The sequence below is a fragment of the Homo sapiens genome, chromosome 16, assembly GCF_000001405.40.
Source record: "Homo sapiens chromosome 16, GRCh38.p14 Primary Assembly".
In the NCBI taxonomy this organism is placed as follows: domain Eukaryota; kingdom Metazoa; phylum Chordata; class Mammalia; order Primates; family Hominidae; genus Homo; species Homo sapiens.
In genome coordinates this window covers 88161028-88177038 of record NC_000016.10, presented here as the reverse complement: position 1 = coordinate 88177038, position 16011 = coordinate 88161028, and the positions used below count along the sequence as shown (strand labels likewise).

Sequence of the window (16011 nt, the reverse complement as noted above, 5' to 3'; positions counted from 1 at the left end):
CTTCTCCTTTGCCTCGAGGTTTCTATGACCTGGGAAAAGCCCATCCCATTCCCGGATGAGGCTTCCCTGCCACGGGTCACAGACACACGAGCTACGCCCCACCTTGCCAAAACTTTCAAGGTGGGATGGAAGAATCTGTCGTTTCTGCATTTACGATCCCGTACGTGTTCCGTGCTGCATCTGTTCTGGTTGGGTTGTCTCTCCTCTCAAGGCCTCTTTTGACCCAAACTTACTGCAAAGCAGATGAGTGAGCCAGAAGCTGCGCTGGGCGTTGGGGGTTGTGGCAGGGGCCGGGGCTGTATGTGGGCCGGCAGGCCACGGGCCGACCCACCACAGGCAGCGTAGCAACCTGCCAAGGACAAACACACGGTCATCATGATAACAACTTCCCCACCTTCATTTTTTTTTTCATATTTCTTAGAGTTTCAAGATTGAGACTTCTTGTAGCAGCTCTTTAATTTCATGGGAGAGAGGGTGGTGTGTGGAGGCCGCCATTGCGTCTCTGCTATCCAACGCCCTAGTGGAGAAGCTCCTGGCAGGGGCTGGAGGCATGGCCTGGCCAAGCTCCTTGGCACTGCAGAACAAATCTCCTTCTTTGACGCCTCTGAAATGTTGATGGAAAGCACACGGGTGTCCCAGCCAGCTCCCCCAGGCCCAGGTCCAATCCATCATGTTCTCTGCACTGCACATCTCTGGGTGGATGGCCTCAAGGAGCAGCGCCAGTGATGTCAGCTCACTCTGGCATCTCCCAAGACAAAAGCATCCCAGGGTGGAGAGCAGGAGGCCCTGCGTGATGATGGACAGAAGGCTGGAACTTGTGAGCTCCGTGCAGTCTGGTACTAATAACTCAGGATCCCCATCTAATGGAAGCATTTTATGAGCTTCGGTGGGTGCAGGGTGCCAGACGTCCTCAGGCCATCAGGCTGAGACCCCCCAGCCCTCTGGGAGTGGAGTAGCCCTGGGGTGGCAGGAAGCAGGTGGGAACTTCTACAAGCAAGAGGGCCTGTGTTTGAGTCAGCTTCACCACACACTAGCCACCTGGTGTTTCTGAGCCTATTTGTCATCTATGACTTAGGAAGGATAATCGTACAGATTAAGGTAGGATAATTCCTAGATCATCATATAGATCAGGGCAGTGTCCTCCAACTCCAGAATTAAAAGGACCAGTGAAACGGATTTCCTCTGTTTCTGTTTTACTGATTCTTCCTTTTCTTCTCTTCTCCTTTCTGGGTTGTTGAGTTTAATTTGCTCTTCTTTCTCTAGTTTCTCAAGGTGATAATTGATTTGGGACCTTTTTTCTCTTCTAACATAAGCATTGAATGCTATACATTTCCCTCTGAAGTGCGGCTTTAACTGAACTCTATACAGTGTGATGGATTGCATTTCCGTTTTCACGCAGTTCCAAATATTTTTTAATTTTCTTAGTGATTTCTTCTTTGAAACATGAGTTATTTAGAAGTGTGTTGTTTAATTTCAAATATTTAGGTAGTCTCCAGACATCTTTCTGTTACTGATAACTAGTTAAATTAATCCTCTTGTGGTCAGAAAACATATATTGTATGATTTTAATCTTCTTAAATTTAGTGGTATCTATTTCATGGCCCAGAATATAGTCCACTTTGATGAATGTTCCATGTTTATTTTGTGGTTAGAGGGAATTTTCTGTAAGTGCCAATTAAGTAAAGCTGATTGGTAACGTTCTTCAGGTCTTCCACATGTTACTGACTTTCTGTCTGCTTATTCTATCAGTTGTTGAGAGAGGGCTCTGATGACTTTCTGATGTGTCTGTTGGTGAGGTTACAGTCCCAGTTACCCAATCTAAATCTATTCTAGGTGCTGCTGTGCGGGGATTTTGCAGGTGTCACTACAGTCTATAATCAGTCCATGTTAAGTAGGGGAGATTATCCTGGCAGGGCCTGACTGAATCAGTCGGAAGATCTTAAAAGCTCAGTAAGCCTTTCCCAAAGGAAAGAAGAAATTTCTCCTATGAACAACAGCTCCAGCTTGTGTCTGTGTCATGTCAGCCCATGTTCACACTTGCAGACAGCCCTCACAATTACATTAGCCAATTTCATTTACACACACACACACACACACACGGTTGACCCTAGAATAATGCAGAGGTTGTGGCGCCAATGTTTGCACAATTGGAAATCTGCAAATAACTTTTGACTCCCCAGAAACTACGAATAGCCTACTGTTGACCAGTAGCCTTACCAATAACAGAAATAGTTATTAATACATATTTTGTATGTGTATTATATACTGTATTCTTACAATAAAGCTAGAGAAAAATATTATAACCATAAGGAAGAGAAAACATATTTACTATTGGTAAAGTGGAAGTAGATCATTGTAAAGGTCATCATCCTCATTATCTTCACATTGGGTAGGCTGAGGCAGAGGAGGAAGAAGAGGGGACTAATCTTGCTGTATCAGGGCTGGAAGAGGTGGGAGGAAATCCACCTATAAGTGGACCCTGCAGTTCAAACCCATGTTGTTCAAGGATCAACTACAGATAGATGATAGATAGATAGATAGATAGATAGATAGATAGATAGACAGACAGACAGACGACAGACAAATTCTGCTCCTCTGGTTACACTCTGACTGATCTGATACAGGGGTACTGAAGCCTCCAGCTATAATTTTGAATTTTTCTATTTTTCTGTTCAGTTCTATCAAGTTTTGCTTCATGTAAGTTGAAGTTGTAATTAAGAATGTACATATTTAGGATTTTGTGTCCCCTTCATGAACTGACACCTTGATCATTAGGAAATAACTGTCTTTATCTCCACTAATATGCTTTGCTAGCAAATCTCTTTTGTTTGCCATTAATAGAGCCACTCTATCTTTCTATTGATTAGTGTTAGCATGATATATCTTTTTTCTACCCTCTTACTTTTAACCTACTTGTGCTTCTTATTTAAATTGCATTTCTTGTAGGCAACATATACTTCGGTCTTCCTTCTTTACTGTATCTTACAATTGTTGTTCATAATTTGGAGGTTAGATAATTTACATTTAATGTAATTATTGATTATGTTTGATTTAAATTTATCTTCTTGCTATTTGTTTTCTATTTGCCTCCATCTGTTCTTTCTTTCTTCTTTCCTTTTTTCATGCCTTCTTTTAGATTAATCGAGGGTCTTATTTTTAATGATTCTCTTTTATCCTACTATTGAATTATTAGCTATCCCTTAATTTTTAATTTTTATTGAATGTTCTAGAGTTTATAATATGTATTTTGACTTATCACAGTCTACTTTCAAATGATATTGTTCCACTTCACATAGAGTGTAGGAATCACTGAGTGGTGTACTTCCATTCCCCCAACCCTCATTCTTTGTGCTATTATTGTCATAGATTTTACTTCCACATATACTATAAACCCCAAAATAAATTGTTTTAAACAGTGAATTATTGAGGAAAATGCGTTTATCTATCTTTTGCATTTATCTCTGTAATTACTCTTCACTGATTTGTGTCACTCTAAATTTCCATCTGGAATTATTTTTCTTCTGCTGAAAGAAGAAAAATAAAGAAATGTTGAAGGAAGCCTTTAACATTTCTTGTAGAACAGATTTGCTGACAATGAATTCCATCAGTTTTTATTTGTATAAAATAGTCATTATCTCCAATTTTGAATGATATTTTTACTGAGTTAAAAAAATCATTCTTGGCAGGTTCTCCCCACCAACCGCCTCCTTAGCATATTACAGATGTCTTCCCATGGCCTTCTGGCTTGCATGGTTTCTGTCAAGAGATCTGCTGTCTCTCATATTTTCTTCCTCTATACATAATATGTTTTTTCTTATCTGGCTGCTTCTAAGATTTCTCTTTATCACTGGCTTTCAGAAATTTGTTTATAACATGCCTTGATGTGGCTCTTTTGGTATTTATTCTACATGGGATTTATCAAGCTTCTTAGATCTGTGGGTTTATACTTTCCAACAAATTCAAAAAACGTTTGGCCATTATTTCTTCAAAACATTTTTCCGTCCCTGCCTCTCTTCTCTTTCTAGATCTCCAGTTACACACAGACACGATGCTTTGATATTATCCCACAGGTCACCAGTGTCCTGTTTTTGTTTTTGTTTTTTAAGACTTTTTTCTCTGCTTTGATTCGAACAGTTTCTATAGCTATAGCTATAGTTTCTCTAGCTTCAGACTCAATGATCTTTTCTTCTATTCTGTGAATCCCATCCAGTGTATTTTTCATTTCAGGTATTAAATTTCTATCTCTAAAAGTTTCGCTTGTGACCTTTTATATGCTTAATTTCTCTCCTTACATGACCATGTTTTCTTCCTCCTTCTTGAACACATGGAAAACATTTTTAATAGCTGTTTAGCATCCTTGTCTGTGAATTCCATCATCTGTCACTTATGATTGATTCCCACTCCCACCTCCAATTATGGATCTTAATTTTTTGCATATCTTCTTATTTTTGACCAAATGCCAGACATCGTGAAAATTCATTGTTGATTTCTGGCTTTTGTTGTACTCCTTTGAATAGCGTTGGACTTTATGTGCAATGAAGTTATTTGGAATCAGTTCGATCTTTCTGAGGCTTGCTTTTAAATGTTGTCAGGGTGGGTCCAAAACAGCCTTAGGCTATGGCTAATTTACCACCATTTCTCAGGCAACACTCTTCTGAGGATTTTCATATTATATAGTCTTTCCATCCTGGCTGGTGGGAACACAAACCGTCCCCCACCCTGTGTGAGCTCCAAGTATTGTTCTGCCTGCTCCTTTCGGGTGGGTGTTTCCCCAGCCTTCAGCAGTTTCTTCACACGCACACACAGATCAACGCTTAGCCAAAACCCCAGGGGCCCTCTCTGCAGACCTCTGGCGCTCTCTTTGGGCAGTGCTTTCCTCTCCAGTAGTCTGCCCTCTGGTTCTTGCTATTTGCCCTCCCTGAACTCATTTCTATCTCCTCTACTCAGTGAGATGGTCACCTTGATCTCCTCTCCCCTCATTACAGTGAGCTGGCACCTCCATGGGACACTTGTGTCCTTTCTCGCAGGGATCACAGTCTTGAGCTATCTGTTGTCCAATGTCTGAACATGATGCTCTGAACACTTCATCCAGTTTTCTAGTAGTTTACAGCAGCAGGAGGGTAAATCCCCATTCCTGTTACCCCGTATTAGTCAGAACCAGATGTCCAAATAGCAGTAAAATTTTGAGTTTTTTTGAACAAAATCATTTTTCATTCCCACATTTTAAAGACTAACCCCAACAAATACATCACCCTCTACTGTCACTGTCATTCCATCACACAGCAGGAAGGACATGATATCAGGATAAAGACCGTTTCTCCCCAGGGTAACGCAGCGATGGGTCTTCCACCCATTTATAAACTCTCTACAATGTCCGTATTTAACCACAGAGTCTGTGCATTTTTCATAAGCTAACATTTGGGACTATTCACTGGAGATCATGGAGACACAGTACCTGATCATAGGACTTAAGAATGTGATTATTTTTATGTGTGTGTATCTGAAGCCAAGATTGTGAGCCTGACATTCTTTGCTTGTGTCATCCTGGCAGAAAGGTAGGGTTCCTGCTTCAGGAGCTTTCTGAGATACAGCAGGGCAGGCTGGGCCTGGGCTGGCACCATCAGGAGCAAGTTCTTACACTGAGCTTCTGGGTGCAATCTCTGAAACATGCTCCACAGAACTCCAGGTGTTCCTAGGCAAGTGCCTGGGACAGTGATCACTTCGAATTCTCAACATGCTCCTGGAACAGGTGGCAGATGGGCCACCACTACCTGGGGTGGAGCTGGGGCTAGAACAGGCCAAGGCCCTTTGCATTATTTCAGGGATTCCCAAACATCACTCACATGTGCATCCTCATGACTTTTGCCAAATCTCCATCATGCCTACCTAGGTAAATGCCTACCTTGCTAAATGCCTACCTTGTTATTTATTTAACGTATTTCTTTAAAATTAGCTTCTCTCTTAAATTTAGATAAATGTATATTTAAAAGACATTTGTATTACTACAGTGCTGACCTCCTAGAGGTTGTCCTAGGGTGAGTGTTTAACTATGATGCACTTCCCCTCCTGTGCCTGGACCCTGGCCTTCGTGGCAGCCCGGGGAAGTCTGCTGTCCCCCGCTACCCCTGGTGCTGGGTGTGGAGCGGCAACACTTGCTCGCGGTTGGAGGGAAAGTCAGTTAGCTTCCGGGGAGGAAAGTATGCAGGTTCCTCAAAAAATTAAAAGTAAAACCACCATATGATCCTGCAACCCCATCAACGGGTACCTATGCAAAGGAAAGGAAATCAGTACAACATTGAGACGTGTCGGCCCTGCTCACAACAGCCAAGAAAGGAACCATCCCAACGGCTGCTTGGCAGACGAGCAGACAAGCAGGGCGTGGTATAGACATGACGGAGCATGCTACAGCCTTTAAAAAGAAGGCCGTCCTGTCATCTGTGATGACGTGGAGGAGGCTGGAGGACGTCATGCCAAGTGAAATGAGCCAGGTGCAGAAAGACAAACACTGCACGATCTCACTTACATGTGGCATCTAAAAAAGTTGAACTCACTGAAGCAGAGAGTAGAGCCGTGGTTGCTGGGGCTGGGAACAGGGAGGGAATGGGGAGGTGTCCATCAAAGAGTGAGAACTTTCAGTTGTACAGTGAATATGTCCTGGGGATCTAGTGCACAGCCTGGTGACTCTAGTTCAGAATAATCGATTGCGTATGTGAAATTTGAGAAGAGCAGGTCCTAAGCATTCTCATCACACACAAAGGTCACTGTAGGGCGATGGATGTGACAATTAGCTGGATTGTGGTAATCATTCGGCAGTGTATACGCACATCAAAGCTTCACATTACATGCCTTAACTCTATTCAATTTCCATTTGTCGAATATACCTCTTTAGATAAAGGTGGAAAAGAAACACAGTGATAGGAAGCGAGGCTGAGAGAGGTTAAGTGACTCACCCACAGTCACACAGTAAGTCAGCAGCCACAAGCGGGACTCGGGTGCTCTGTCCTCCTCCAGCCTGTGCTCTCTGCACCATGCCCCCCATAAATGCATCCTAAAAACAGCAGCTGAAGTCCATGTAAGGCACGCAACATCACTAGTCACTAGGGAAATGCATCTCGAAACCCCAGCCAGGTGCCACTGCACCCCACTGGCAGGGCCGACCCCAGAGAGACTGGTGGGCCCACGTGTGCCAGAGGCGGAGGGGCCACAGGAACCCTCATGCACCGCTGGTGGGAGCGTGGCATGGCCGCTCTGGAGAAGGGTTTGTTCAACATGCACACGCCAAAGCCCTTACAAACATTCCTGGAGCACTGGCTGGGTGCTGGGACGGAGGGGCAGACGGCCAATGTAAGCACGAAGGCCGACCTGGGCGCAAAGGCTCACAGCAGCTCTGTGTCCAGTTGGCAGACCCGGAATCAGCCCAAACGTCCTTCGGCAGGTGGATGGACCACCGCAGCTGGTGCCTCTAAGCCCCGGACTCAGCTCAGGACTAAGAAGGATGGAGATGGGCTGCAACCTGGATCGCCAAACGCACTCTGGTAGGTGAAAGGTTGCGTACTGGAGAACTCCACCTCGATGACGTTCTGGAACAGGCAAAATCATCTCCAGGACAGAAATCAGAGGGGGGCTGCCAGGGGCTGGCGCAGGGGAAGGGCTGACTCCCAGGGCACAAGGGAGTCTGGGGGAGTGATAGAACATCCTGCACCTCCGTTTCCATGTTGGTCACACAACTGTACACATTCGCGGAAACTCAGAGAGCAGCAATTGAAAGTGTGGATTTTACTGACGTAGATTACATCCCAGCAAACCTGACTTCAGCAACAACAGGTACATCCTCCTGTACCAACGTCACCTCATCCCTCTGCCTCATGGCAGTCATGCGTGAGCTGGGCCCTGTCCTCAACCCCACCCTCTTCACAGCTGACCCTCCCACCCACAGCTGCACACACTTCCGGCCTGTCCCCTGGTGTCCCAGGGACCCTAACACTCTGTCCCCCAACGTGAATGTTCATCCTGTCCTCCTCCCCACATCCTTCCAGATGGCGTCCTCCCTACCACACACGAGGAGGCCCCCCTCCTGCCCTTTCAGATTCTAATTCTTATTTTTTGTAGAGGGGGGGGTCTCACTATGTTGTCCAGGCTGGTCTCAAACTCCTAGGCTCAAGCGATCCTCACGCCTTGGCTTCCCAAAGCTCTGGGATTACAGGCACAGCCACCACAAAGCCCAGCCTCAGAGTCTTATTTTTCTACTTAGCTGTCAGCTCCCAGTTTGCTCTGCAGAAGGCCTGCCACGGTGCTGTTTGCTAATCCTCAAAGCCCAGCCCTCGTCCTAGTGCTTGCCAAACGGCAGGTGTGCAATACAAATGATTAAAGAAGCCGGTGGATGAATGGACAGATAAACAAACTGTTCTGGAGAGGAGATGGGGACAAAATGACTTATCTAAGCCCCATTCTTTGGCAAGAGAAAAGGGACTATTAAAAAGAAAGAAGTTACCTGGACCCCTCTTGAACCTGCACAAGGTCACAATCACACACGAGCAACCCCACACAAGGTCACAATCACACATGAGCGACCCCACACAAGGTCACAATCACTGATGAGCCAGCCCAGGCCCACAGCGGGCAGGTGACAGGGAGGCCACGGAATTCCCAGCTCAAGGCCGTTGTCAGCCTAGAAAATATGTGGGGAAAAAAACCAGTTCACTTTGCCTGGATTCCAGCATCTTTCCCAACAGCCTGGCTCTGCTCAGCCTAAAATCAGTAGAAAATGTTCGGCCAAGTTCAGTACCCCTCAGACACCCACACTCTGAGTTTCAGACCAAACTTCAGTCTTTTGAAGTTGAGCTTCTGTTAACTCTTGGCTCAAAACTAGAGAGATGGTAAGAGGCTTATAAAAAAGATTTGAAAGGCTACCCCGGTGCCAATTAGCTCTTACAAAACTGTGTTTTGATGAACGAAGTGTAAATGAATAAGGGACACATGGCTCACGTCTCCCTGGAAACGCCCATGGGGTTCATCGCGAAGCGGGTGGAGGGGGACCCGCCCGCCAAACTGCATGACAGGTCGTGCCAGATTCCAAATGTTTGGAGGGGGGCAGTGTTCAAGACGCCTGGCTGACATCAAAACACTGCTGGATTCTTCCTTCCTCGAAGCCAACATTATTCTCATTAAAACCTAATCAGATCATCGCTGTAAGGAGCGGTCCGTCCTGGGGAGCGGTGCAGAGAATCCCTCTGTTACACAACAGCTGCTCTTCCGGCAACCAGGGGAGGGGGCTTGGTGGCCACACCCACCCCCCATTTGCAGCTCTGCCCGGGATGGGCGCCCCCTTGACCAGAGAGATGAGGAAACGCAGCGGAGTGGCTCCTGAGATGGAATCAGGACTTCCCCCGGGGCTGGGTCTCTGGGTCCTGCCCCCCACCTTGGAAACCTCCCTACCACATTCCTAACCAGGGCCAGGGCAGGAGGTGGCAACTTGCAGGCGTCCAGTGCAGGAGGGAAATCTAATGTGTCGCTCAGTGGGCTGGGGGCAGTGGCGGTCAAGCAGCAGCCTGGACACTGCAGTGCAGGTGCCAGGTGGACGTGGTCGGTGTCAGCAACCAGCTGCCGGAGTCAAGGAGATTCTTCTTGCAATGCAGGGACCCATCTGGTCAATGGCAGGCCTGAAGAACAAATCTGCGAGCGGGGCATGGTGGCTCACGCCTGTAATCCCAGCACTTTGAGAGGCCGAGGCGGGCGGATCACCTGAAGTCAGGAGTTCAAGACCATTCTGGCCAACATGGTGAAACCCCATCTCTACTAAAAAAACAAAAATTAGCCGGGCACGGTGGCAGGTGCTTGTAATCCCAGCTACTTGGGAGGCTGAGGCAGGAGAATCGCTTGAACCCGGGAGGCGGAGGTTACAGTGAGCCAAGATCACACCACTGCACTCCAGCCTGGAGGACAGATGGGATTTCCCTCTTAGAAAAAAAAAAAAAAAAAAAAAAAAGAATAAGCCTGCAGTTTTCCAGAGAAGAGGGAATTGCACCTGAAGACCACAGCATGGATTCCGCCCAAGAGTCCTGCCTGCCGGCACCTGCACACCGTGAGCTCGCCAGCCCCTACAGTTGCAAGAGAAAACTCCTAAAAATCACACATATAGAAATGATTTTACAGATATAATGCTATCTGTTATCAATGTGGTGGATTTAGATATAACATTTTTATATATTTACATATTTTATATACATTTATATGTATTTGTGTGTGTGTGTGTGTGTGTGTGTGTGTTTATGATTCTGATTCTCTGGAGCGCCCTGATCCACGGAGTAGGAAAGGCATATCGGTTCTGAAACCCAGCCCTTGAAAAACGCCTCACCCAGTGGCGCTATCGATGGGCGGTTTCCAATGCTGACTCTGGCTTATATGAAGTTCTGGGACTAAAAAAACTATTTTTGATGAAACAGTCAGGACAATGGTTGCCTCAAGGGGTGCAGGAGGGACACGGATGGCTGGGAAGAGTGGGGAGGGAACTTCCTGGGGTTCCATGTCTTGATCAGGGAGGGTGCCGAGGGGCGCTCACATTTGCCAAAACAGCGAACCGTACATCTAAGACTTGTGCATTTCACCGCATGGAAATTTCACTTAAAACGTAAACAACGATTGCACTCTAGCTAATGAAATTGAGCTAAAACCATTTAGAGTGAATCATGCTTGCGTCCACAGTTGTTTTCTGAAATGGATCCAAAAATAAGATGGATGGAGGGAAGGAAAGAGGGAGGGAGGGAGGAATGGAGATTTGATCAAAGTGAGTGTAGTTCACTGTTAATGGAATTTAGGTGGTGGGTGTGTGGGTGTTGACTGCAAAATTATTTCAACTTTACTGTATGTTTGAACTTCTTCACAAGAAAATGCTGGAAAAGAGAATGAACGCAGGCTCTGGGCCAGCCTGTCTGTCATGAATCTCACTCTACACGCAGTGACCGTGGGACAAGGGTCGGCCTCCTCACTGGCGTGGGCCTCAGTGGCCCCTGGGTGCGTAACAATAGTGCCCGCTTCTGGGGTTGTGCAAGGTTTTAAAAGTTTAAAAACACCACTCAGCCTCAAAAGGGAAGGAGATTCTGACACACCCCATGTGGATGAGTCTCGGGGGCTTTGTGCTGACTGAAATAAGCCAGGCACCAAAAGACAAATGCCGCAGGATCCCACTTACGCGAGGTTCCTGGAGGCATCAGACTCAGAGACGGAAAGGAGGCGGCGGGGCCGGGCTGGGGCAGGGAAAGCGGGGAGTCGGGGTGTAGTGGGGACACAGTTTCAGTGTGGAATCAAATAAGTTCTGGAGATGGATGCTGGTGAGGTTTGCACAGCATAAAGAAAGTACTGAGTCCCAGAGAACTGTACCTTAAAAGTGGTTAAGATAGTACGTCTTATGTTATGTTACCACGATTTAAAAATTGGAAAAAAGTTAGCGTGCTGAAGCCCTGGCCCACAGAGAGGGCCGAGCAGTCCCCAGAGATTCTCACCAGCTGCTTCACATCCGAGAATCCAGGAGCCCAGAGGCTGAGGAAGGCCTCAGACAGCAGAGCCCTGCATTCCCAGTTTCTGGAAGTTGAGCCCGAGTGAGCCCTCCTGAAATGGTGCCTAGGAGAGACCAGCAGACCCCGCAGCAATGTCCTCCCTCAATGGCCTTTCACAGCCATCGGGGACACCAGGTTGAAGGCACAGGGACTGGGAGGCGCCAGAGAAGCCTCGGCTACCCGGGGTGGCGTGAGCTGGGCATTGGGAGCCAGGGAAGGCAGCACATGCTTCTCCATGGGGAGGTGACAGGCAGCCTTTTGGGGAGATGACTCCAGTGAAATGCACATGATGCCAGACAGACCCTGCTGGGTGCCCTGAGCCCACTCACAGGAGCCCTGCTGCCTCTACCTTCGGGCTGAGGCCACTCTGGTTTGAGCACAACTGAAAGCCATGAAGGGGATGAAAGGCACACTTGCCCACAATGGCCCTCCCCTCCCTCAGGATCATCGGCATGGAGGGGCACACCACCTGTGGGGGGATAAAAGACACACGAGCCCACGATGGCCCTGCCTTCCCTCGGCACCGTGGCATGGCGGGGCACACCACCTACTGCCTGGCCCTGAGCCAATTTGGAAAGCACGCTCAGTGTAGACTGTGATCCAACCCCACGGGAAGTGTCCTGTGCTGGTCCTGCCTCCAATGGACTCATGCACTATTCAGTCACAGGGGATACTGCAGACCCACCACCCAGAAACCCAAGGCCCAGCTGCTTCCCTGTGAAGATTTAAGGGCTTTATTCTGACCTCATCCTGCTTTCTCACCCCCTGCCCTGATGGCCAGCCCTGTGATCCCCACTGGCAGAGCCATAAAGCACAGTGAAATCATCTGGCCAGGGAAGGCACTGTGCTGTCATGAACCAGAATCCACGTCAAACATAAAAAGGGAAAAAACTCAGAGTATCAACAGTGCCCTCATCAACAGCGAGGTTCAGGCCACATACCCACCCTGTCTGTCCATCCACCCACACATTCATCTGCTCATCCAAACATCCATCTACTCATTCATGCATCTGGCCACCCATCTATCCATCCATCCGTGCATCCATTCATCCACTTACCCACTTATACATCCACCCATCCATCTGTACATCTACCATTCCTGCATCCGTCCACCCATCCATTCATCCACTTACCCACTTATACATCCACCCATCCATCTGTACATCTATCATCCCTGCATCCATCCACCCATCCATTCATTCATCTACCCATCCACATATCTGCCCACCCATCTACCCAACTATTCATCCACTTATCCCACCCATCCACTCACCCACCCATCCATTCATCCATCCACCCACTCGTCCATCCATCCATCCATACATTCATCTATCTACCCATCCATTCACCCATCTACCCATCCGTCTACCCAACTATTCATCCACTGACCCCGTTCATCCACCCACCCACCAACCCATCCATTCATCCATCCACCCACTTATCCATTCATCCATCCATCCATTCATCCATCTACCCATCCATATATCTACCCACCCATCTACCCAATCATTCATCCACTTACCCCGCTCATCCAGCCACCCACCCAGCCATTCATCCATCCACCCACTCATCCATCCATCCATCCATCCATTCATCTACCCATCCATTCATCCACTTACCTACCTATCCATCCACTCATCCGTCTGTACATCTACCATCCCTGCATCCAGCCACCCATCCACTCATCAACTTACCCACCCTTTCAGGCATCTATCCACCGATCCATTCATCCACTTACCCATCCTCTCATGCATCTATCCACCCATCCATTCACTCACCCATCCATCATACATCCACCCACCCATATATCTGCCCACCCATCTACCCAACTATCCATCCATCCATCCATCCATCCATCCATCCATCCATCCATCTACCAATGCACATATCTGCCCATCCATCTACCCTACTATTCATCCACTCACCCACTCATCTGCCCACTTACCAATCCATCCATCCATCCATCCATCCATCCATCCATCCATCCATTCATCCATCCTTCTCTGTCCATCCTTCTATCTATCCATCCATCCATCACTCCATCTACCCATCCACACAACTGCCCACCTATCTACCCATCTATTCATCCACTTATGCCACTCATACATCCACCCACCCACCCAGTCATGCATCCATCAACCCATCCATCCTTCTATCTATCCATCCATCCATCCATCCATCTACCCATCCACACAACTGCCCACCTATCTACCCATCTATTCATCCACTTATGCCACTCATACATCCACCCACCCACCCAGTCATGCATCCATCAACCCATCCATCCTTCTATCTATCCATCCATCCATCCGTCTACCCATCCACACAACTGCCCACCTATCTACCCATCTATTCATCCACTTATGCCACTCATACATCCACCCACCCACCCAGTCATGCATCCATCAACCCATCCATCCATCCATCTACCCACCCACACATCCATTCATCCAGCCACCCATCAATCCACACATCCATCTACCCATTCATCCACCCACCCATCCATCCAACACCTACTCCCTCCCCAACCATCCGTCCATCCAACTTTAAAGGGCCTTGTGTTGCTATACTCTTGCTACATGCTGAGTTTACAAAGTTCTAATACCCAGCTTGGAGTAGGCACTAAGTATTTTTTGGATAGCTGAATTGAGTGAATAATTAACACAAAAATAATTAAGATATCACTTGTACCTTTATATAAAGGGCAAGGAAAGTGAACAAAATAATCATTCCACAAATGTGATGTATGACACACTGCCAGGGTGGCAAGGGAAACTGCCAAGCAAACCAAGACACAGAGAATAAAAGGGGGGGGGCACTAAAAAGAATTGTTAAGATAAATGCTTTTTTGAAATGCCTATTTATTTTCTGACATTTGTGTGTATTTATTTTTATTGGCAGACTTATAAAACAGTTCTATTTAAAATCTATTATCAAAAATAAATTATTTCAATAGATCTGTATATTAAAGCAAAATGTTTTTTATAAAATCCTTTGTATTGATTACACTTAAAAAACAAGCAGAATAATTATTCTTGGTACATACTTACAAACTTCATTTCAGTCTTCAAGCATTTCTGGCTCTAACACTATGTCATTGATGTGGTTTTTTTTTTTTTTTTTGAAGAATGTCTTTTTTCATTATTTCTTTTATTTTTCATAAAATATCCTCCAATTTTTTTCAGTGTTGAATTTTGTGATGGATAAATTAAAAATTGTTGACAGCTTTGACTCTACTCTGTAGTATGAAATATTTTATTGAAAAAATACCCTTCCTACGAGTCTAAGAGACCCAGGAAGCTCAGGGCAAGTTGGCTAAATGGAGGATTTTCTCAACTCTCATGTTTCCATGTGGAGATGTGTGGCTCTTTCAGCCAGGCTATTTGTGTACGTACCATCTTTTTGTCTCCATTCAGAGAACTTTTCATAAACAAAAAAATTGGACAAATCTTCATGCAAAACTCTTCCAAAAAGTTGTCTCTATTTGTGATTCTTTCCAATGTTTCACTAAATTTAAATGCTCTAAAATCATAGGCTGTCTCAACGGCATTCCATTTGGGTCCAGAATATAAATATATCCAACTTAAAAATGTGGACTCCATCAGAAGACTCTTGCCCAAGTGCAGGACATTGCACAGTAAAACTGTAACACTGCACGCCAAGTCCACGAGCCACGCAAGCTCACGTCATCTGGCTTCCTCGGCTGTCCCTCGGTTTTGCAGGGAAACATTTATTTCAGCTTCTTTTCTTTCCTTGAGCTAGCTTTTTTTTTCCCCTTACAAAACTGATGTTTTCTGGCACAACATTCATTGAATAACTGGAAGTTTCTAGTGAAGTCCGAATAAAATGCAACCAAAATTTATAGAGCACTCACATACGAAAAGTTTCGATACCCTCGTGAGCCACTTTGATTTACAGAGGCAAGGACGTTTTCTCTAAACGCTGAGTGGTGACAGGCAACAAACAGAAAGCACTGACTGAGATGAAGTTTGTTTCGTGTTTTCATTCAGTGTCAGTTTTCTCACACACATGCTGTGGTCTAGTCACTCTGCACCTCCTGAAACATCCGCTTCTACTGTGTTGGGAATAGATTCTGATGAGCACACACCTGCAGGCAGTACTGTCAGTTCCAAGCATATTTCCGCCCCATAGATCGTCGCCGTTTAGGGAGAATATTTCCGCCCCACAGATCGTCACCGTTTAGGGAGAACGTTGTTTTAACCATGCTATTATGCTCCACCAGAATTGGTATTTGTAAAGATAAATCAGTGTACCTTTAAGGTTGGACTTTTCAATGGAATTAATAAAGCCCGTTTTTTTTTTTTTGAGATGGAGTCTCGCTCCGTCACCCAGGCTGGAGTGCAATGGCGCGATCTCGGCTCACTGCAAGCTCTGCCCCCTGGGTTCAAGCGATTCTCCTGCCTCAGCCTCCTGAGTAGCTGGGATTACAGGTACCTGC

At 46.3% G+C, this 16011-nt stretch overlaps 1 protein-coding gene across 1 annotated transcript in view; it reads right to left on the bottom strand.

Moving 5' to 3' along the window:
• The window catches only part of ZNF469 (zinc finger protein 469), a 339823-nt gene that overhangs the window by 263715 nt on the left and 60097 nt on the right, over positions 1–16011 (bottom strand). The window lies entirely within an intron of this gene.